General features: G+C 57.5%; 1 protein-coding gene across 2 annotated transcripts in view, besides 5 other annotated features; it reads left to right on the top strand.

Annotated features, from left to right (window-relative positions):
- ELFN2 (extracellular leucine rich repeat and fibronectin type III domain containing 2) overlaps window positions 1-22,197 on the top strand; it is an 86,836-nt gene that overhangs the window by 2,830 nt on the left and 61,809 nt on the right. Inside the window, exon 2 of one of the 2 annotated variants that reach the window (NM_052906.5) lies at window positions 6,731-6,881. The exons of the other annotated variant lie outside the window; for it this stretch is intronic. The gene's annotated coding sequence lies outside the window, so the exon portion shown is untranslated. The remainder of the gene's footprint in view (window positions 1-6,730; window positions 6,882-22,197) is intronic. 2 annotated transcript variants of the gene reach the window in all.
- Window positions 3,545-4,214: an enhancer, noted in NCBI's record as "H3K4me1 hESC enhancer chr22:37816475-37817143 (GRCh37/hg19 assembly coordinates)". NCBI's record gives its function as "activates a minimal SCP1, AML or CMV promoter by ChIP-STARR-seq in primed H9 embryonic stem cells {active_cell/tissue: H9 hESC(primed)}" and the evidence as "EXISTENCE:reporter gene assay evidence [ECO:0000049][PMID:30033119]".
- Window positions 4,215-4,884: an enhancer, noted in NCBI's record as "H3K27ac-H3K4me1 hESC enhancer chr22:37815805-37816474 (GRCh37/hg19 assembly coordinates)". NCBI's record gives its function as "activates a minimal SCP1, AML or CMV promoter by ChIP-STARR-seq in naive and primed H9 embryonic stem cells {active_cell/tissue: H9 hESC(naive and primed)}" and the evidence as "EXISTENCE:reporter gene assay evidence [ECO:0000049][PMID:30033119]".
- Window positions 7,859-8,403: an enhancer, noted in NCBI's record as "H3K4me1 hESC enhancer chr22:37812286-37812830 (GRCh37/hg19 assembly coordinates)". NCBI's record gives its function as "activates a minimal SCP1, AML or CMV promoter by ChIP-STARR-seq in naive H9 embryonic stem cells {active_cell/tissue: H9 hESC(naive)}" and the evidence as "EXISTENCE:reporter gene assay evidence [ECO:0000049][PMID:30033119]".
- Window positions 13,599-14,100: an enhancer, noted in NCBI's record as "H3K4me1 hESC enhancer chr22:37806589-37807090 (GRCh37/hg19 assembly coordinates)". NCBI's record gives its function as "activates a minimal SCP1, AML or CMV promoter by ChIP-STARR-seq in primed H9 embryonic stem cells {active_cell/tissue: H9 hESC(primed)}" and the evidence as "EXISTENCE:reporter gene assay evidence [ECO:0000049][PMID:30033119]".
- Window positions 21,327-22,075: an enhancer, noted in NCBI's record as "H3K4me1 hESC enhancer chr22:37798615-37799363 (GRCh37/hg19 assembly coordinates)". NCBI's record gives its function as "activates a minimal SCP1, AML or CMV promoter by ChIP-STARR-seq in naive H9 embryonic stem cells {active_cell/tissue: H9 hESC(naive)}" and the evidence as "EXISTENCE:reporter gene assay evidence [ECO:0000049][PMID:30033119]".

The raw sequence follows: 22,197 nt of genomic DNA, 5'->3' as shown, positions 1-22,197 counted from the left end.
TGATTACCCAGCCCCTTCTCGAGGGGTACCTTCCTTTCCTGGAGAGATATGGAGCTATGAGGAATTGGTGGTGGGGTGCCAGGTGATGAGCCCAAGGCCAAGAGTCTCTGGCTGGAGGAGAGGCTGCTCTTGACTCCCAGGTCAGTGCTCTCTTGCTCTTCCACCCACAAGCTCCAGAAACAGTCAGCGTGATAGGAACGGGCACACTCAGCAAGCCTTCTCCAGTGGGGCGTGTCTAGGGCGGTCACTGGGGGCTCCATGCCTGTTCCTCAATATCCCCTGAGGTCTTGTAGGATGCTTGTTTTTGGCAGCAGAATTGGGTTCCAGTGACACCCCTGCCGCATCTGCATCCTGGCTGTGTGTGACAGAGGTCAGCCTCTCCTGTCTCTGTAAGAGGGTGGTGGCAGCTTCCCTTGCGGGTGTGATGTGTGAGTGTGAAAGGGTGACAACCGTGTGCAGGGCTGGGAGGCACACATTGCTGCTACCCTCACCTGCTCCGGCCACAGTGCCTGGGGGCCAAGCTCCTCTCTCGGTGCCCCCACCTGCCCCATGTTGTGACATGTGCTGTGTGGAGTGGATGGCCGAGAAGTAGGATTGCCTCGAAACCTGACGCTTCTTAGCAAGTTAGACCTCTTCAGGAGCTGTGTTAATCGTCTAGAAGGTTTACCCAGTCCTCTGCCTCCTGCCGTCCCAGCCCAATCCCTGATTAAATTAACCTTCTCTTGGCTCAATTACCACCTGGGGCAGAGGCATTGACATTATTACTGGAGATGGTGTCTGGGGGTTGGAATAATTGAGCCCCCTCTCCTTCCCCCTAGCTCTGCCGACAGTCCCCAGGAAAGCCCCAGAGAAGCCCTGAGGACTCAAGAGCCACCTGGGCAGGCTTGCTTATGCCTGGGGTGCCAGAGGAAGGGTGCTGGCTGCACGATGCTGCTGATTGAAATAGTAATAACTATAGTGATAATAATAATAATGATATCAGCTAATATTATTGAGCCCCTACTGAGAGCCAGGCCCGGTTCGAAGCTCTTTATGGGCGGCATTCGTTTAGTCCCACAAAAGCCAGCTGCAGCAGGCACTATTATTATTCCTCATTTTGAAGACAAGAAACAGAGAGGTTACAGACCAGTCCAGGGCCACACAGCGATGGAACCAGGACTGGAACCCTCGAAGGGAAACTCTCACATCAGCACCATTGGCTGCTGAACTCCTTTGCCAGATGGGCCTGGAGGCCTCTACATCTTGGCCTACCCCTCTCACTGAAGGCCCTTTCTGGGCCTTGCTTTGCTTATCTGTAAATGGGTGCAGTGACCCTGCCCTAGGGAAGCTGGGGGTGGCGGACGCCCTTTGCTTTGGCTGCAAGGAGAGACAGGAAAGGAGGGGCCTCGTGGGTGGTGCCTGCATCTCAACCCCCCATCCCATTCCCCACAGAGATGGGACACCCCCAAAGGCAGCCCTTTGCTCCCTGGCCCTCCCACAGTGCCTCGAACAGCAGCGCTTGGAGGGCTCCCCCGGGTGACAGTGGGGAGGTTGCCCCAGGATCAGTATCTTCTTCAGGTCCCGAGTCTATCGTGGCCTCAGCTGTGGCCCCCTGGACTCCCCACCTGGCCATCTTGCTTGTGGAAAGGGCAGGGGCAGGGCTCCAAATCCAACCTCTTTTCCTCCTCGGTGTGGGTCCTGGGCAAGTCACTTCCCCCCCCCCCCCCGAGGCCCAGTTTCCTCAATATGAAGTGGGGACAAAAGTACCGAATTCTTGGTTGGGCGTGGTGGCTCACACCTGTAATCCTAGCACTTTGGGAGGCCGAGGCAGAAGGATCACCTGAGGTCAGGAGTTCGAGACCAGCCTGGCCAACATGGTGAAACCCTGTCTCTACTAAAAATACAAAAAATTATTCGGGCATCGTGGTGCATGCCTGTAATCCCAGCTACTCAGGAGGTTGAGGCAGGAGAATCGCTTGAACCCAGGAGGCCCAGGTTGCAGTGAGCCGAGATTGTGCTACTGCACTCCAGCCTGGGTGACAGAGTGAGGCTCCGTCTCAAAAAAAACTTCCCCAGTAGCTGGGATTACAGGCACACACCACCACACCCGGCTAATTTTTGTATTTTTAGTAGAGACGAGGTTTCACTATGTTGGTTAGGCTGGTCTCGAACTCCTGACCTCGTGATCCTCCCTCCTTAGCCTCCCAAAGTGCTGGGATTGCAGGCGTGAGCCACTGTGCCTGGCCAGAACAACAACAGCAACAATAAAACAACCAAAAAACAAAAAAAACGAATTCTTAACCCTTCTGGGTTGTCTTAAAGGTCATGCTAAAGGTTAGGTAAGAGAAGACCACGTGTATAACATCCTGTCTGGCATGCGAGATGCCATTATTTTCCTCCCCCTTCCCATCTGCCCCCTCCGTTCATTCCTGGCTTCCTGGAAGGGGTCTGCACTGTGCATGCATGTGTCTGTTTCTTTCCCATCCTTTTCACCCTCTGCTTTTCACCGCCTGAAGTGCATGGGTACTGCTGGGGTTGGGGGCGCCTAAGGATGCATGAAAAGAGCCTGGGTGCTGCCAGCTCTTGTGACTGTTTGTGTACACTGGTCACCACCTCTCTCAGGGGGAAGTAGGGAATGAATCCCAAGGCTGCCTGACCAGCCTGCCGTGGGCCTAGTCCCAAGACTCAGGCCTGACTCAGTTTCCCTCCTTGGCCCATCTATTATCCTTCTCCCCCTACAATTGCCCCTGAATCTTGGAGAGACAGAGGCTGTGGGGTCAGCCGACCTGCCTCACTCCCTTCCTGGCCCTTCTCATTCCCCAGTGGATTTCCTACATCTGCCTATTGCCTGTCTTATTTCTCCCACTTCATGTCAGCTCTGTGCAGGCGGAGACTGGTAGGCCCTCAAAAAATACTTATTAAACAAATTCCTTTCATCTACATGCTACCGAGGACGGATCGCTGCATTTTGCATTCAGATGGCGCGTGCACACACACCCTTATTAGCATGTTTCACCCAGGGAGAAATGCTGGGCCCCGGGGCTCAGGCAGGAACCCCCAGAGAGGAGCCCCTGCCTGGCAGAGCTCAGGGCCCTGGAGGAGAGGTGAGACACGGGAACCTCTGACAAGTGCCCAGCATGGGGTCTGCACACAGTAGGGCTTGCTTGACAGGTGATTCTTGTCCCTTTGTGACCTGACCGAGAGGGGGTTGCTGCTGCAGGCTGGAGGCCAGGTGTGGAGCGAGCCTCCCAGGCAGGGCTGGAGAGTTTGTGCCAACTTCTGCTCTGGGCTTTGCAGAATTCTCTCGATTATGCACCTGCTATGTGCCAGGCATCGGGCAAGGCGCTCTCTGTTATCTTGTTTAACTTTGGCTGGAGGATTGTGAAAGAGGTCCTGCCTACCCCTGGGTGGGGGCATGCCATATGGAGTGACCGTGTGAGCAGGGGCCCGGAGGTGGGGAAGCCCAGAGTGGATTTTGAGAAGATGAGTCTGGACATGTAGTTTGAGGAACAACCACACGGGACCATCCATGCTGCGCCAAGAAATTGAGTAATATCCTTTTTGTCAGGGAGCATTAGAATCTCTGGGTGTTCGTTAAAATGCAGATTCTTGGGCCCTGTCCACTGAGATTTTGATTGGGAGAGTGGACGAGGGGAAAATTGCAGGAACTTGCAATTTTAATGCTTTCCCGAAGATTAATTCACTCACATTTGCTGGTTGGATGGCAGCTGCATGTTCCCCGGGGTCTCTGAGACTCCTCCCAGAACCCTCCGGAGCCAGCAAAGCCATCCTCATTTTCCAGAGGAGGAGCTTGAGCTCAGAGAAGTGCCTAACCTTCCGCGCCACAGCAGCAAGTCAGGGGCCAAAACTGACTAATAATACTGGCTAATCATCTTCCGTTTCGTTGACTGCTGCTGTAAGCCTGTTTAAGGAGTCCCTCATTAAATCCTCAGAACGCCCCCTCTGCATCATTCCTGTTGCACAGATGAGGAATCGGAGGCAGCGTGTGCGGTCACGGGTTCGAGGCTGCACAGCTGCTAAAGCTAGGCACGTTAGCAGCCTAAAGTGTGGTCGGGATGAAGTGGAATTGGAGCGGGCCTGCCCCAGCACCTTGCACAGGGCGAATGCCCTCCCTCTCCCTTCCTGTGGAGCGAGGGCGCTGGTGGAGCTGAGTTTGCGGCTGTGCATGTGAGCAGAGGCCAGAGGCGGAGGTGGAGGTGAGGGCAGAGAAGCGGCGAAGAGGGCGGAGAGCAGAGAAGACGTCCTGGAGGAGGCGACCGACGCACAGCCGCGTAGCGGTGGCTCGATATGGTCCATCCACTTGGCGGAGGCAGACCTGGGTCTGGAGGCCGGCTGGGATTGTCCGTCCTGGGGGCGCACGGGGCGGGTGCGCGATGGCTGCTGGGCCGGAGGAGGGGGCGGGCGGGAACTGCCGCGGACCTGGCGTGGTGGGGACGGGAGCGCGCGCTCGGAGCCCCGCCGGGGCCGCACCGCCACCCTGCTCCCCCCCGACCTCGCCGCGCTCCCCACCTCCGCACCGTCCTCCGCCGTCCGCGGCTCTTCGAGGCCCCCGTCCCCCGCGGCCCACCCCGCCAGCCTCCGGAACTTGCGCCCGGCTGGCCCGGCTTTCCTCCTTACTTGCCTGTGTTTAGAATTTGCAGCCGCAGCCCCTGACGCTCGCAGCCAATTTCGCAGCCTCTGGGCTCTGCGCGGTGCCCGGGATCGGAAAGCGACCGGCAGGGGCGGGGGCTGGCGGCGGGGCGGGCCGCGCTGGGCAGGGGCACAGGGGGCGACCGGAGCCAGGACCCGGCGAGTTGCTGGCGAGGGGGTGTGTGTGCCGGGTGGGTGTGGACGGCATGGGGACGCGCCGCGTGAACTGCCCTGGGAGCGCTGTGGCGTGCAGGCGTGGCTGTGCTGGGGGTGTGTTGGCTCATGTGCATTGGCACGTGTGTCCGGGAGTGGTTCCCTGTGTGTGGGCATGCTTGGGGCATGTATGTTTTGGCGTGTGTCTATGTTGGGGGCCCCGTGTCCCTGGGCACGTTTTTCTGGGTGTGTTTGGTGAGCGTGGGGCGGGGCAGTCCACGGTGCCCCTGGTTTGTGCGTCTGTGCAGTGGCCGCATGCATTTTGGCACCAGCGTGGGCCTGCGTGTTGGGGAGGGTGTCTGTGTGGGGCGCCCCTGTGTTCTGGTTCAGCTGTGTGCAGTGCACCTTGGTCTCTAGGCCCACGAGTCTCTGGGTCTGTGATGTGCGTTTCTCTGCGGCGGTGGGAAGTTCTCCTGTGTGGATTCTGTCTGGGTGTGCTCTGGGAGGACAGGTCTATGTGTGTGTGTGTGTGTTAGGGTATAGTGTGTGCCTCTGGGGTGCTTTCCCATCCCTGCTGGCTGAGGGGCTGAGGGTCAATTGTGTGCTCCCAGCTAGGCCTGGGAGCCTTTCCTGGAGGAAGCCGGCCCTGCTAGTTCTCTGCCTTTGGGAGGGGGTGAGGGAGTTGAGGCAGTGTGGCGGGGAGAGGGGAAGGGAGGCCCGAGTGTGTGTTTATTTTCCGTTGGGCGCCGCTGGCTGCCAGCACTTGGTGGGTCTACATATGTTTGTGAATGGCAATGCCGAGGGGGCCGAGGTGTGAGCCCCTGCCTGCGGGGGAGGGCCAAGAGTACCATCTGGGCTGGTGGGGTGTGGGGCGGGACAGGGAGAGGGGCCTCCTCGGGAGGAGCTGAGTGTGTGTGCGCACGTGTTTGCGCAGATGGAGACGAGGTTCCGCCGAGGCCCGTCTGTCTGGGAGCGCCTGTCTGTGCAGGTGGAGGTCAGCCAGGTACTGTGCTCTTAGGCTGTGTGTGAGCCCATGTGGCGGGAAGGTGGGGTAGAGGCATTACACCTGGCTGGGAACAGGCTGAGCACATAGGGGAAGGCGTGTGCCAGTCCTGGCAGAGTTCTGAAGAGGAGAGGGTGTGCCGAGGGCGAGGGTGTCTTTGTTCCCTGGGGCCCGGCTGACGATGGGGTTGGGCGGCGTTGGTGATCCGAGTGACCAACAGGAGAGGAGGGTAGTTGGCCATGGAGGGGGTGAGGGCTGTGTGGGGGCACTGGGGGTCAGGGGAGTGTGAGAGTGTGTGTGCACACACACGTGGGTGTGACATGTGTGACCATGGCTGTGACTGGGGTGTGACTGGGGAGACACCTCCAGGCTGTGGAGCCCAGTAGGGAGTGTGGGACAAGGTGAAGGGGTGGGAGTGGGGGCCCCTTGGTTCCCAGAAAGCTCACTCATCTGTGCCTGCTCCTCCTGCCCAGGGGCTTGAAAGAAGCCCTGTGGCCCCTGGCCTCTTCCCTGGCCCCTGAGCCCCATGGGTTACGATTGGAAGCCTCAGCCCTCCATCTCTCCTGCCTCATCATCCTTCTGTCTCTACCTCCATCTCTTCTCCTCTCCCTGCCCCATCTCTCCATCTCAGTGCCTTCACATCTCTGCCTCCATCTCTCTCTGCATCTCTCCATCTCTCCCTGCCCTGTCTCCCCCATCTCTCTATCTCTGTCTTTCTCCATCTCTCTTCCATCTCCCTCCATTCCTCCTCTCCCTTTACCTCCTCTCTGTCTCACCCTGATATTCATTTGTGGTATATTCGGTTGCCATGGGAAACCCAAGAAAGAAGTGAGTGTACCCTTCAAGACTTCAGCATTTTTCCCTCCTCCCTCCCTCCTGCTGTCCCCCCTCCCTCTCCTCCCCTTCTCTCCCTCCCTCCCCTCTCTCCCCCTCGCCTCCCTGCAGAAGGAGAGGACTTGGGTGAGGAGCTGCTGCCACCCGGGCTGGGCCAGGACCTGAGATCTCATTGCTACTGCTGCCGCTGCTGCCTGGGGAACCTTTCTGAGACCCAGGTTGGGGACAGTGCCGGAGGGGCCTCCTCTGCTGCAGACATCTGGTAAGGACAGGGTCCTTTTGCCTGTGTGTGTGTCGCTGTCTGTGAGCATAGCTCACATGACCCGGCCTTGCAAACCTGTGATGTGGCCCAGCCTCAGGCTTCTGTGTGTTCCTTCTTGTGGGCCTGGCCCCTGCCCCCAGCCGTGGGCACCCCTCCCACCCAGCTTTCCTTCCACAGGGCCTATGAGGCGGCCTGCAGAGCGGCAGGCCTGTTGGGGGCTAAGACAAGCCCACTGGGGAGGGTGGGCAGGAAGCCCCTGTTGGCTCAAGGACCCCAGCTCCTGCCCCATCACCCGGCAGAGAGGCTGAGGCAGGCTTAGTCTGCACTCCAGCAGGTCAGGGGGCATCTGTGCACCTGCTGGGGGTGGAGAGCCAGCTTCCAGGGGAAGGCCTGGGACAACATGGTGGGGGTCTCGCTCAGGTGGGGGTCTGTCCATTGTAGAGAGAGAGGCTGGAAGTGAGCCGGGAGCAGGGGAAAACGCCAGCAGAATTGATATGGGGCCTGATCCTATGTCATTGAATTTTGGAGGCACAGGGAGAGCCGTCTGGCACTAGGAGGCCGCAAACAGGCAGACAGGCAGGCAGAAGGAGCTGCTCCGTCCTGGCTGGGGCTGGTGGCTGCCCTGGAGAGGAGAGGAGAGGAGAGGCTGGGGCTGTCACCGAGGCTGTGTTGGTGGCGGCCACGTGGAGGGAGCTGTTGTCCAGGCGGCGCTGAGTGACGGTGGTTGCCGTGGTGAGGGAGCCGCCTCTGTGGCATTGTGGTCTCCGTGGAGAGAGGAGGAGACAGAGAAAGGAGGCTGGCTGGCTGCGCACAGTGTTGGTGGTTGCTAAGGATAGGGAGATGCTATCTCCAAGGTGCGGTGGTCCCCACGTGGAGGGGCTGTGGCTGTCCAGGTGTTGGAGGTCCCCAGGAAAGGGGTAGTGATGGGTGCCCTGAAGGGGGCTTGTGCAGGGTGGTGGGTGCGCCCCGGAGGACGGAGGAGGTGTGGTGGGGGAAGGGCTGCTGCAGGGGACTTGGTGTTGCTGTCACAGGCTGAAGTGGGGGTTCTTGGTGGTGGAGGGCTGGGGAGTGAGGCACAGTGGGCGGGTCTGCACTTATCCTGCCTGCCCCTGTGGACAGACCGGAGACCCTGCTGCACCAGCGCTTGCTTCCTCCCAGTGCCTCCACCCAGCCCTTCCCTCCCACTTCTGTGGTCATGATCTTCCCACCTCTGCCTCCTTGAGCCCTCTCGCTCCCCAGGGCCTCTGATCTCATAAGTCTCTCATCTGGGCACATGCTCCTTTCTTGCCCCCAAGTGACTTTGTCCCCATCCGTCATGTTTGCTGAGGACCTGTTGACCCAGTGCCGTTCTCTGGGGGACCAGCATTGGTACCTGCCTTTGAGGAATCAGACGGGAAGTGACTTGCCCAAGGTCACCCAGCAGGCACGTTCTGGGGAGCATCTCCCTCCCTGAGTGCCGGACTCAGCAGGCCTAACTCCTTCCCTGGGGGAGCCTGTCTCTCTGACACCGTTGAGTCCTCTCTCTCCCCCCAGTCCCCAGGGGTTCTCCTGAAGCAGCATTTCATTCAATTACTAAAAACAGGAAGCTGCACAGGAGAGCAGCGAGTTCTGGGTTTGCAACCTGGCTCTGGTTTTTACGGTGGAGGACCTCTGGCCTCAGTTTCCCCCTCTGTAAAATGGAGATGAGGCACATGCCTCCCAGGGTGGCTGTTATTTGGGCTCATGGATGTGATGGCTCCTGGTATGTAATAGACTCTCAGTGACTGGGAACCACCACCACCATCATCATTATTATTATTTTTTTTTGAGACGGAGTCTCGCTCTGTCACCCAGGCTGGAGTGCAGTGGCACTATCTCTGCTCACTGCAACCTCCGTCTCCCGGGTTCAAGCGATTCTCCTGCTTCAGCCTCCTTGAGTAGCTGGGACTATAGGCGCGTGCCACCACGCCTGGCTAATTTTTTGTATTTTTAGTAGAGATGGAGTTTCACGGTGTTAGCCAGGATGGTTTTGATCTCCTGACCTTGTGATCCACCCGCCTCAGCCTCCCAAAGTGCTGGGATTACAGGCGTGAGCCACCGCGCCTGGCCCACCATCATTACTTTTAAAAATCGTTTTAAAATGATTTCCTGACACGCGTAGGGAAGCCAGATCTCACTAGAGTTCTGTGGCATCGTACCTTTCCCCATGACCCTTAGTGGTGGGAGTACGGTCCTGAGTTGGTGGTAACAGGAACGGGGCCGGAGAGGCAGAGAGCCTTCTGACAGGCACATAGTACCCTGGTGGCTGAGCCAGGATGGAGCAGGTGTGGCAGGCTCCCTCTCTGGTGCTCCTCTCCTGCCTGCCCCAGGGCCTGTGTGTGCACTTTCATCAGGCGAGCCCTGTCCCCACAGCCGTTGCCTGAGCCCCTGGCCACTGGTCTCCTTCATGGGACTTGGGTGCTCTGAGCTGCTCAGCCAGCCCTGGCCTAGGGCACCGCATGCCAGGCATGTGGCTGGTGGTGCCCTGAGAATAACCGAGTCAGGGGAAGACTGTCCTGTCTACCATTTTGGCATCACCAGGGGGACAGGACAGGCAAGGGAGGACTGAGAGTGATGGCCAAAGAGGGCCATTTGAGAGGCCTGGGAAGTGACGGGTAACTGTCTTTCAGGTGATGAGGGCCTGAGCTGAGATCCCAACACTGCCACTTTCCTGGAAGCTGCCGTTGGGCATGTTTCTCCACCTTTCTGGGCCTCAGTTTCTTCACCTGTACAATGGGGATGATAAGAATCCCTACTTCACCTTGCCAGAGCAAGGCCAAGGGACAAAGTAAGGCACAGGGCTTGGCACTGGGAGGTGCTCCAGGTGGCAGCTGCTAACATTTCAGGGTGACCTGGGAAGGAAGAGAGAGGGCTGTCCTGGGTGGCCTCAAAGGGCAGGCTCAGACCTTGGTTCATCCTAGAGACGTTCTGACAGGCTGAGCTGTCTTGGGATGGGAAGGGGGAATGTAGTGAGTGCCCTTTGTAAGTGAGACCGCCCAAGGCTGCCAGGAGTGTGGGGTTTGAGACCACTAGACTTAGGTTCATGTCCCGATGCTGTCATTTATGGGCTATGGGATCTTGGGAACCTCAGTTTTCTCACCTGCAAAATGGGAGGACTATTAATGGAAGCAGGGTTACTTTAAATGAATGAAGGAATGTGGAAGAGACCTAGGATGCACTTCAAGCTGCATCGCAACCTGGTTTCCAGAAGAGGAAGGCAAGGAGCAAGGGGTTTGGGGGGCTTAGAGTAATAATGCTCACAGCTGCTGTTTATTGAGCATCTGCTATGTGCCAGGCATTTTCCCATAGGCTCCAGCTCTCATTTGATTCACTGGCCTTTGACCTTGCTGTTCCTTCTGTGCTCACTGCTGCTCTCCTGGCTCAGTGCATGTCTGTCTCCTGTTCTGGTTAACTGTCACCTCCTCAGGGAAGTCCTCCCGAGCACCCTATCCTTTGCCCTTGGCCTCCTCCCTCTGGTTTCTTAAAGCCCTTAACACAACTTGATGCTGTTTTATTTGCTTGCTTACTCTCTGCCCTCCCACCACTGTAGAGTATCAACTCCCTGAAGACAGCTTTTTTTTTGTCTTGTTCTCTGCTCTATCTCAAGTACCTTGAATGGGGCCTGGCACATAGTAGAGGTTCAATAAATTTGTGTGACTGCATGGATAGGTAACCCCACCAGCCACCCTGGGAGGTCAGTCTCGTTATTCCCATTTTATACAAGAGGACAGTGAGGCCAGGGAGGCCGGGTAAGGTGCCGTGGGTACACAGCAGGCTGTGAGTGGCACGCCGGGCATTTGACTCGAGGTCCAGTGCTGTCTTCTGCTGCTGTATACCACCTTGCTGGGAGGCCTTGCGTTTCAGGCTGAAGAACTTGGACCTGACTCTGGATGCCGAGTCAAAATCACAGATTCTTAGGGGGGGCTTGTGCCATAACGAACAGCTTTTGGTAGCAGCCTGAATTGTCAAAAGAAATCAATCCAGATGCTCGCTAGCTGTGTGACCTCAGGCATATTACCTAACTACTGTGTACCTCAGTTTACTTGTCTGTAAAATGGGGATAATATCTGGGCTGGCTTCTAGGAGGCAGTGGGCTTTGAGCTTAGATTTGCAGGCTTAGCTCTGAGGCCTCCTCCCCAGTGTTGCCATTAATGGGCTGTGGGATCTTTTTTTTTTTTTTTTAGACAGGCTGTTGCTCTGTCACTCAGACTGGAGTGCAGTGGTGCAGTCATGGCTCACTGCAGCCTTGCAGCCTTGACCACCTGGACTCAAGTGATCCACTCATCTCAGCCTCCTGAGTAGCTGGGACTACAGGCACATACCACCATGCCAAGCTTTTTTTTTTTTGTAGAGACGGGATCTCACCGTGTTGCCCAGGCTGGCTGTGGGGTCTTGGGAGCCTTAACCAGCCTAGTCTTAGGAGACTTCACTGCCAGCTGTAGAGGGATTTGAGACTTTGATTTTGGAATAGGCAACATTTTAAGTGCCTGGGACAGGTCATTTTCTACTCTGCCAGCCTGTGCCCTCTCACCCCCATTTCTGCCAGCCCCACCTCTTATCCCCCTAGGGCAGAAGAGGGAATGAAGGAGAGAGAAAAACCAGTTTGGACTGAGCACCTCTTCTGTGCCGGGATTTTCTTCCTGTACCTCACCCCGTCTGTGGCCACAGCAGCCCCTGCAGCATAGGGAGTGTCACACCCGGTTGCAAACGACCAAACAGAGGCCTGGAGAGATTCTCTTCCAGGGTGCAGAGCAGGGATTTGGACCTATGCTCAGAGGTCCCCGCCCACACTGTGTCAAGGGAAGGGAGAGGGGAGGAAGTGGGGAGCGTGGTTAGGGGTGCCTGGCCCAGGCCCACTCCTGGGTCACCCGGGGAGGAAGGCTGCTGGTCCCAGCCCTGCCAGGATGAGCTTAGAGTGCCGGGCTCCCAATGCCAGAGGCTGGACCTGGAGGGGCTGTGGAAGGGACAGACAGCTCCGCAAGCCTGACCACCCACCCCGCTGGCAGCCGCGCCAGTCCAGGGAATAGATCTGGCCTTGTGCGTGGTTGTCCCGGTGCCTTGCTCAAGACCCCATTTGTTTGGGGAGGAGAAAGGGGGGTCTGTGGTGCCCAACAGAGGTGGGATTCATGGACAGGGCCCGGTGGTGGGAGGGTAGCCTGCCTGGTACTGGCCAGGCCTGGAGGAGTGCCAGGAAGAAGGGAGAGGAGGGGCTGAGGCGTGGCCTGGGGTCCTGCTTGGCCCCTTGGGGCAGAGTCCTGCAATCAGGTAGGGGGCTGTGTGGATGGAGGTGCTGGAGGAGGGAGTCCTGGGACCTCTTAGTCTTTGGGAAGGGGAGTGAGTGCCCTGTCTGAGGGAGATAGAGCCTCAATTCCCAGGAGCCCCAGTCTGAGGGTGGAGGCACTGTGGGTGTGCTGGCCTCAGTTTGCTTTCTTTCTTTTTTCCTTTTCTTTCTTTCTTTTTTTTTTTTTTTTTTGAGACGGAGTTTTGCTTGTTTGCCCAGGCTGGAGAGAAAGCTGAGATTACAGGCGACTGCCACAATGCCCAGAAAATTTTTGTATTTTTATTTTTAGTAGAGACCAGGTTTCGCCATGTTGACCAGGCTGGTCTCGAACTCCTGACCTCAAGTGATACACCTGCCTCGGCCTCCCAAAATGCTGGGATTACAGGCCTGAGTGTACAGACTGAGGCGCCCAACCTCAGTCTGCTTTCTGAATGTCGGAGGAGAGATGGTCCTCTGAGCGGAGGTTCCAAGAGCTCTGGGAAGACTTTTTTTTTGGAAGAGGCAGTCCCTGAGGGCTGGGAGTGGTTGGATTGGGGCAGGGGCTGCAGGAAGGCCTGTTTGGTGGTGGGAAGTGAGACCTTGTGAGTTAGATCCCACGCCTGAGTGGTCACATGTCCTGGTCTCAGTTTTCTTATCTGTGAAATGGGGATACTGCCAGGCTCCTGGAGGGGATGGAGTGAAATAGGATTGGAGATAGGAGTATCTGCACACAGTAGGCCCACAGGGTTGCCAGGGGCTGCGTGAGAAGCTAGAAGCTACTGAGAACCCATAGCCCCATCCCTGTCTCCACACTGGGTCACAGCTCAACCCACCCAGCATAGGAGGTAGGGTGCCCTCTGTGCCAAGCTGGGAGGCAGAGATGAAGGGCTATGTTGCCCTTCCTGCCTCCGCTTGCTGTGTGAGTCTTGCTTGTCCTACACTCCCTCTGGACCTCAGGCAAAGGACAGCCCCTGTCCCAGAGGACATTGTCTGAGGTCTGTGGGGGCACACAGACCTTCTCCGCTTCCCCTCCTCACCCAGGGCTGGGACTCAAGGATGGAGGTGGGGGCTCTCCAGGGACCCCCAAGCATCATCCTGGGAAGAGACCGGCTACAGAGAGGGGTTGGCACTGAGGTGCCCCAATGGTGGTGGCTCAAGGGCCCTTGATCTAAGCAGCGCTTCTGGGGTGAGGCCTTTGCTGCCCCGCTAGACACTCCTTGGCTTGGTGGTCGCAGGTCAGAGTGGAAAAACTCCCAGGCTACAGGATGGGGCGATGCAGTGATCAGGCCCATGGGCCCAGCTGTCAGTTCCCAATTCTACCCATGACAAGTTGCCCCGCCTGTGTGTGCCTCAGTGTCCTCACCTGTCAAGTAGGAATAAAAGTAGTGCCCACCACCCAAGGGTGACACTATGAAGCACTTGGTGCTACGCCTGGCGTGCAGTCAGGAATGCTAGCACTGGGCTTCTTGCTGGCTTTCCTGGTGGTCGGAGCAGGGAGGCAGGCTTCAGGGGCCCTTCTAGAGTCACCTCTGAGGCTGCTGGAGACAGGCTGGGGCCTGTGGAGTCCCGGTTCTGGGTGCTAGGTCAGGAAATGTGGGGGTGTCTGCCCCTGTGGCCCCTCCTACTGCCTGCCGAACAGGATGTCGTGGAAGGAGCCGATGGGCTTTGGAGTAGACGCGTGGGTTCCATCCCAGCTCATTCATATTCATCCCCCGCTGGCCGTGGGGCTCCGGCCCGATCATCCTCCGCTCCTCGGTTGCTTCGTGTGGTAGAATGGGATCAGGGCTGTGATGGGGATTAGGTGAGATGAGGCAGGAAGACAGCAGTATCCACGCCTGCGGTTTCCGGTCAGTGCCCGGCTCGTCCCTCTCCAATTTGATGCTGGGGCTGATGGCAGGGGAGGGAGGGGCTTTGGGAGTGAGTTCCTGGCTGGGCTGAGATGGCAGCTGACCTGGACGCTGCCCTCAGCACCATCTGGGGAGAGGGGAAGCGGGGGCTCAACAGGGAACCAGGACCCCGGAGTGCTGGAGGGTCGGAGCCAGCAGGTCTCCCACCCACTGCCCGCACTCGTGGGCAGGCTGCAGCCCAGAGAGGTGAGGCGCTGGCTCGGGGCCACACCGCAGTGAGTGGCCAGGCTGAGGGTGGAGACTTGCCGGCTTTCCTCTTGGGCACTTTCACTTCCCGCAGCCCCTGGACCAGCCTAAAGTGGCTGCTCTGAGCAGGATCACCCTAGGGCCTGAGCTGAGCTCATTCGTTCTGTTTCTCTCTCTCTCCCTGTCTCTTTGTCTCTGTCTGCCCACCCATCTCTCTGGCCCTGCCCCGTCTGTTTGCCGCAACCGCCTGTCTCTCAGGCCGCAGGAGAGAGCTGGCTGGATGGAAGCTGGGCACACAAGGGCAGGTGTGTGTGTATGTGTGTGCCCTCGTGATCTTTGTGCATTTGCTGGGTTTTGGAGCATGTATGTGTAAAACAATGCATAAGTATACAAACCCCCTTATACCTGGGGAACTGGCACATGCTCTCGGCGTGCACAGCAGAAAGGAATGGGCCACTGCCTGTTCCCAAGGCCTCCTCCCCAGAGGCTGTCACTGACCCGTGTTTCCTGGTACCTACAAACACACGTACACCATCTGTTCTTACCCAGGAGGGATTCTCCTCGCAGCTGGCCCTGCACCCTCCTGCGGCCCCTGATTGCACCCTGAGCACCCTTCTCAGGGGTGCGGCGGGACCTGGGTCCTAATCCACTTTGGAATGGGCTTTTCTTGAAAGGACATTTCCCTGTTGTGAGTGCCTGGGCTGTTTGCACTTTTTCTACTTTCACCCACTTCAGATCTGAAGTGTCTGACTGCAGAATCAAGCTCCTCTGACCCGGCACGCTGCCCTGGGGCACGGGTGGGCTGGTTTGAGGGGATCTGCTTCCAAGGCTAAGTGTGGACATCTGGGCTCCTCTCGCTGTTGGCTGAGCACTTTAGGCAGGAGCCCATTCTGGCTGGGATTCCTGCCTGCGGGCTCCCTGGGACTTGGGGAAAGGTAGGGTGTGGGGGTCCAGGGCCAGGACCCCTGGCTGTCTCTGGGGACAGAGTACCCAGGGACTTGGAAGGTGGTGCCGGGAGACCACGCTGTTCCCTGCTGTTCTCCACCTGCTGCATCCCAGGATCACTGGGCACTGGGCTCCTTGGGGCCACAGGGAGCTGCTTCGGGGCCCAGGAGCTTCCCAGGGTCCTTGAGTGCCCACAGGAGTGCCCGGGCCTTCCGGAGCTGGGGGTGGGGCCGGGTAGGCGAGTGCCAGGCACAGAGGAGGGAGGTGCAGGTGATGGAGCAGGGTCTGGGGCCTGGTCCCTGGCCTGTGGCTCTCATCCCTTTAGTCTTCCTCACAGGCTGTCTTTCCGCCTTGGGGCTGAGCCTGGGCCAGTCCTGGGACTTTTTTGTTCCCTTGGCCAAGCTGGAGATTCCTTGATGCTGTAGGGAGAGAGCCCTGGACAGGGAGTCCTGAGTCCAGCGTTCGAATTGCAGCTCTGTCTCTTGCCTTCTGTGGAACCCAAGTGTCAGGCCATTCACAGAGTCAAAGGGAATCATATCTTCCTTATATCAACACACCATGTGCCAGGCACTGCTCTAAGAACTTTATAGAACTTAGCAAAATCCTCACAACAACCCAGCAAAATAGATACTGTCACCATCCCTACTTGACAGGTGGGGAAACTGAGGAACAGAGAGGTTAAAGATCCTACCCACAGCCACACAGCGACTCGGTGATGAAATCAGGATTTGAAACTGGCCATCTGAACCTGACTGCCTTGCTGTGTTGGGCGCCCTTGGCAATCCCTGGAAGGCCAGTTATTGGGCAGAGCTGGTTCAGGCGGGTGCCCTGGTTTGAGCCTTGAGAGTGGTCCAGGAAGAAGGTCCTGGCATATGGTAGGGGTGGCAGTTTGGGATCAGGCCCGATTTGAGTGCCTAGCTGATTATTTACTGAGCAAGTGACTTCACCTAGCGGAGCCTCAATTTCCCCATCTGTAAAACAGGGTTAACAGCACTTCCTTGGCAGGGCTGTTGTGAGAATTCCGTGCAGTGAGGCTCAGGCGCTCAGCACATGGTGGGCCGCTGCCAAGGCCCCATGACCAGGTGGGAGGGAGGCAGTTCAAGGGACGCCTGTGCCAGCAGAGCTGAGTGTATCCCCTGGAGTGCGGGCCGCAGATCCCGTGATTGGGAGCTGATGGGCCCTGGGGTATGTGATGCCCCACCCCTCTCATCATCAGGCACATACCTGTCTATCTGGTACATCCATTGTGCAGCCGGGCCCAGGACTGGGGACATGGTGGTCATCTGTCTGTGTATGTATAAATGTGTGGGCTAGACCGCAGCCCCTGGGGGGATCATGCAGACATTCTCATGCACACACCCGGCCTGGAGAAACTCGTGAGAACTCCTGCTTGTGGGACTGAATCAGCCTTGGACAGCATCTCATCCAGCTCCCGCGCTGTGTGCATGAAACAGAGGTCCAGAGAAGGGAGAGGGGTTGCTCTGAGGTCCTCCATGAGTTGGGATTATCTGCAGTTTAATTGCTGGGTGGGGCCTTTTCTCGCTTTCTTTTTTTTTTTGAGACGGAGTCTTGCTCTGTCCCCCAGGCTGGAGTGTAGTGGCGCGATCTCGGCTTACTGCAAGCTCCGCCTCCCGGATTCATGCCATTTTCCTGCCTCAGCCTCCCGAGTAGCTGGGACTACAGGCGCTTGCCACCATGCCCAGCTAATTTTTTTTTTTTAGTAGAGATGGGGTTTCACCATGTTAGCCAGGATGGTCTCAATCTCCTGACCTCGTGATCCGCCCACCTCAGCCTCCCAAAGTATTGGGATTACAGGCATGAGCCACTGCGCCTGGCCGCCGGGTGGGGCGTTTTCTAAAAAATGCTGCCATAAGCCCTACCTGTGGTGGCCCCATCGCTTGTCCACATCCTATGGGTGGACTCTCTACAGAGCACGTTCCTCTATCTGCCAAAGCCAAGGCACTTGTTTCTTGATTTTCGTGTTGACTCCCTGGCTCCCCCATCACAGTGAAAGCACTGTGAGGCTGGGGACCTTGTCTGTCTTGTTCACGAATGTGCCTGTGGTGCCAGCACAGAGCCGGCTGCATGATAGTAGGTGTTCAACAAGCATTTGTTGAAGAATAAGTGGCCCTGTGGTCACGTCTGAAATGATTTCCAAAAATCGTGCCCTCCAGCTCGCTTGTGGTATAGCCTGAATTTCAGAGGGGCAAGGACTTTCCCAGAGCCTGAGCAGGTAATTGAACGCAGGCTTCCTGGCTCCCAGTCCCGAGCCCTCTTGTTCTGGTGTGCTCATGTACACATACGACACACACACACACGCACACACACAAGCACACACAAATGCACACACCCAGTAGGCCATGATCCAGAAACTTCCCTCTGATCATTGCTCAATTATCCAGCTTCAAATTGTCCATCTGTCCTCTTGGCCAAGGCCATGGGCTGCATGCCTACTGGGGCACCTGTTCTGGGCCTCTCCCAAGCCTGTGGCTGCCTGGAGGATGGGGCGGGAACCTTGGGAAGGTGGGGCTGTCCAGGTGACCACGGGTGCATTGCCTGCTTTGCCCAGTGGACTCTGTCTCCTGCTTCTGACCACGTCTCCTTCATCCCACCCTGAAATTCCACCTGCCCAAGCCTCCCTGTCCCCCTGCACCACCACCCTCCCATTGCTGGGCTCTCAGGCTTTAGGGGAAAGGGGTGTCATTCCCAGGGACCAGCTTCCCCCTCAGCCTCCCCCAGGAAGTCTGCCCTAATGCCCGGGAGGATGGTAATTAGTATGAGGCAGGCTGATTAGCTCAGAAATTAAGTCTTTGTTTCCCTCGCTCCCCAGTTTCCCTAATTGAGCAGATGCAGAGCGGGGGACGGGAGGGGCTGCTAGTGGGTCACGGGGCTGGGGCGGCACACGCGTGGCTGTGTGCTTGCTGCAGGGGCGGTGGGAGTGGGGGGTGGCATGGATGGGAGGCACTGTCTGGGGGTCCCTTTGCTCTCTGCCCTTTCCCTGATGGGGGAGCGCCAGGGAGGGTCACCTGGGGGTGAATCCCGAGATGTGCAGCCCTCTGGGGTGTGATTGAGCTGACAGGCACCACACCCCGGCACTCCGTTGTGAGTGCTTGTATGCAGTCATTCGTCCCCGTGTCCAGGTCTTCATATCCAATCACCGATCGTAACTGCTGTCACTTGTTGAGCACCTGCTGTGTGCCATCACTGGACTGGACAACTTTCACGTATCACCTCGTTCAGCCCTCGGGACAATGGTACAGATAGGGGACCCTTGTTTTTTATTTTTCATTTGTTTTATTATTTTATTTTTTGAGACAGGGTCTCACCCTGTTGCCCAGGCTGGAGTGCAGTGGTGCAATCGTGGCTCATTGCAGCCTCAACCTCCTAGGCTCAAGCGATCCTCCCATCTCAGCCTCCAGAGTAGCTGGGGCTACAGGTGCGTCTCACTATGCCCAGCTAAGTTTTTAAAAAACTTTTTTGTGGAGACAGGGTCTTACTATGTTGCCCAGGCTAGTCTCAAACTCCTGGGCTCAAGTGATCCTCCTGCCTTGGCCTCCCAAGGTGCTCAGATGACAAGCGCGAGCCATTGTGCCTGCCCAGGACCACCCCCCCTCCACCCTTTTTTTTTTTCCTAAAGGGAGGAACCTGGGGCTCAGAGAAGTGAGATGACTTGTCCAAGGTCACACAGTTCGGAGAGGCCAGGAAAGGGTTCAGATCCAGGTAGTCTCATGCAGCCCTGTCTCAGGCTAAGGGGGCTATTTGGGCAGGGAAAGGGGATCCTGCGATCACGTGGTGGTCAGTTCAGGTCCTGGATGCTAGGTTGAGGCCTTTGTCTTTCTTGTTTCTTATTCGGGCATCAGCACATCCCCCTTCTTGGGTCACTGGGAGGAGCAGTGACAATAACTGTAATGACAGCAGTGATGAATTATTTAGTGCTTGCTATGTCCCAGGCAGGTGACCCATGCCTGACATGTTTTCTTATTTCATGTTTACAGTGACCCCATGAGCCATGGGGTTGATACCTTCACTATCCCCATTTTACATTTTAAGAAGCTGAGGTGGCCAGGCATGGTGGCTCATGCCTGTAATCCCAGCACTTTGGGAGGCCGAGGTGGGTGGATCACCTGACGTCAGAGGTTCAAAACCAGCCTGGCCAACATGGCGAAACCCCCTCTCTACTAAAAATACAAAAATTAGCTGGGTGTGGTGGAATGCACCTATAATCCCAGCTACTCAGGAGGCTGAGGCACAAGAATCGCTTGAACCCGGGAGGCGGAGGTTGCAGTAAGCCGAGATCACGCCATTGCACTCCAGCCTGGGCAAGAGCGAGACTCCGTCTCAAAAAAAAAAAAAAAAAAAAAATGCTGAGGTTCAGGGAGGTGAGGGGCCTTGCCCTGGTTCCACAGTTGGTAAGTAGGGGACCCAGGATTCAGCCCAGGGCCTGAGGCCCAGTCCTTCCTTCTTGATCACCAGCAGGTAGCTGGAACTCCTGTGTCTCTGGGGCTCAGCTAAGGATCTGGGGGGATGGCCCTCCTCACAACAACCTATGTGGTAGGTATTGCTTTTATTCTCATTTTACAGATGGGGAAGTTGAGGCTCAGAGAGGTGAAGTGACTTGCCAAGGATCCCATAGCTGGTGAGGTGTTGGGTTCGGGCTTTGAACACAGGCAGATGTGGCAGGCTCCTGAGCACCAGCATCCACTCCCAGCTGCTGCACCTGTCCCTGAGCGCTGACCCTCCCAGCCTGGGTGTCAGCCGCTGCTGTCGGGCCAGCATCTTAACAGCTGTGTGCAAGGGATGCCTGAGTCTCCATCCTCCACTGTCACCTGCCTCTGGCTGTAGGACATTGCGTGTGGCCACCTGCTGACTGGTCACTCCTTTGGGGTGTTCCTCTGACCCCTAAAGCTCAACTGGCCCCACCCGGGCTCTGCCTCTGTCCTCCTGCACTGCTATTTGCCCATTCTCTGAGGCTCCCTGTTCCAGGGCAGGCACTACGCTCACTCAGCCACCCACCCAGACCCTGGGTGGCATCCCTGAACTCCCCCCTTGGTCTCTCTCTCCATCCTGCCCGACTCTCTTCGCTAAGCCTGACTCAAATCTGCCTTCATGTGCCCACCCTGCTGTCCTTGCCTGCACCAAGTCACCCTCCAGGCCCGTCTCGTTGCAGCCTCCTCACAGGCCGCTGGCGCCATTCCCGCCCCTCCGATGCATTCCAAACCCTTCCATTGGTGTCACCCCCCCAGCATGTCACTGGCTCCCCACTGCCCTTGGGCCAAGATCCAGAACCTTGAGATCTGCAAGGAGTTGGCTCGGCCTCGGGGCTCCCTCTCCTTCTGATGTTCCATTTATCTTGATCTCAGTTCTCCTGACCTTGTTCCAGTTCCTCAAAAGTGCCACCTTCTGGGTACCACATACGTGGTTCCCTCACCAGAATCACCCTCAGCAAAGCCTTCCTGGACCCCAGGACAGATGAGGCCCCTCAGGTGTCCTTGTGCTGGGGACGTCCCTCTCTTTCTCCCAAGAGCCCTTTGAGGGGAGTGGTGTTGCCCATTTTACAGACAGGGAAGCTGAGACTCAGAAGGCTAAGCTGGCAGCCAAACCCAAGGCTCTCTCATTCTGGGGCCTGTGGTCTCCTCGGCGTGTGCAGGTGCGTGTACACGTGTGCATACACGGCGGGCACCGCCGATGGCTGGCTGTGTGAGACCTCGTTTGGGCTGAGATGATGAGCCTCGTTGGGGAGAGGAGGTCCCGGATGGTCTCTGGGTGCCTGGCCTGCCTTTTCTGCCTTTTCCTGTGGTGGGGGTGAGGGCCTGCTATGTGAATTTGGGGCGAATGTCAGCCCCTCGCTAGACCCCGAGGCCGCAGCCTCCCAGGCCCTCTCGCTTCTCTCCCTTTGCTTCAAAACAAACACCCGGGAGCCCAAACCGCCCATCCAGCCAAGGCACAGATGGAGTTGGAATTAATTAGTCCTGTTGCCCAGGCAACCGGGACCCAGACCAGGATCCAGTCTTCTCTCGGCCCATCCCCACCCTCCGGCCCCTCGCTCGCCTTGCATGGCCCCGCCCCTTAGGAGCCTGGCCCTGCCCTCTGCCCTAGGGATGCCCTCGGGGACTCCTCCTAAATTGGGAAGGTGGTGGTAGGGATGTCTAGGAGCTGGGTTTCACTCTGGGCTTGGTGGGACCTTGGGCAAGTCCCTGCAGTGCTGGGAGCCTAGCTTTGTTCTGCAGAATGAATGGATGGACAGGTGCACCTGCCTGGGGGTGGGGGGAGGGGCATCATGGAGTGATACCTCATGGGGGACTTGCGATTGGTGAGAGAGGGAAGAATGAAAGTGGCCTCAGCTTGGGATGTTGTTGGGGAAGATGTAGCTGGTAGTAACTGGGATAGGCTGCGGCTATGGCTTTTTCTGCTCGATGCCAGCAGGAGGGGGCAGTTGTGGGCAAGTGAGGCATGGTCTCTGGCCCGGGCCATTCTTGGAAGTGGGCTCAAGTGGAGGATGTGGAGGAGACCTGAAGGGAACAGGCCACCTCTAACCCCCGTCTCCTATCTTTCAGAGTCCCCAGTGCTGTGCTCGGTGCACAGCAATGCCACCCTGGCTTGGCATGCCTCGGGTTGGCTGGGACGAGGCCCAGCTCATGCTCTGGCTTCTGCTCAGCCTCCTGCCTGGTCCTGGGACCCACCGAGCCCCTGGAGGCTGAACACCATCTCTCCTGCCACCTGCGTAACTGGCCATTTATTTGCTCCTCCAGCTGCCAGGGAGGCTTCCCTGAACCTGTCGTGGTGGCACAGGGGCTCAGGAGAGAAGACAGGCTGGGACTGGTGGCTGCACTCTCACCTTGGCTCCACAGCCCCTTCCTTGGGAACTGTGGGCAAGTTGCTGCCCCCCTCATGAGCCTCGGTTTCCTTATCGGTCAGCTGGGCCTAGTGATGCCTCTAGTGAGATCACCAGTTGGAAAGGCTTTTGAGAGGCAAGAACTAGGGGTGGGAAACTCAGACGCTC

This window comes from Homo sapiens, chromosome 22 (genome assembly GCF_000001405.40).
Source record: "Homo sapiens chromosome 22, GRCh38.p14 Primary Assembly".
Classification (NCBI taxonomy): domain Eukaryota; kingdom Metazoa; phylum Chordata; class Mammalia; order Primates; family Hominidae; genus Homo; species Homo sapiens.
The sequence above is the reverse complement of the archived record's forward strand: the minus strand, read 5'-3'. Positions and strand labels throughout refer to the sequence as shown.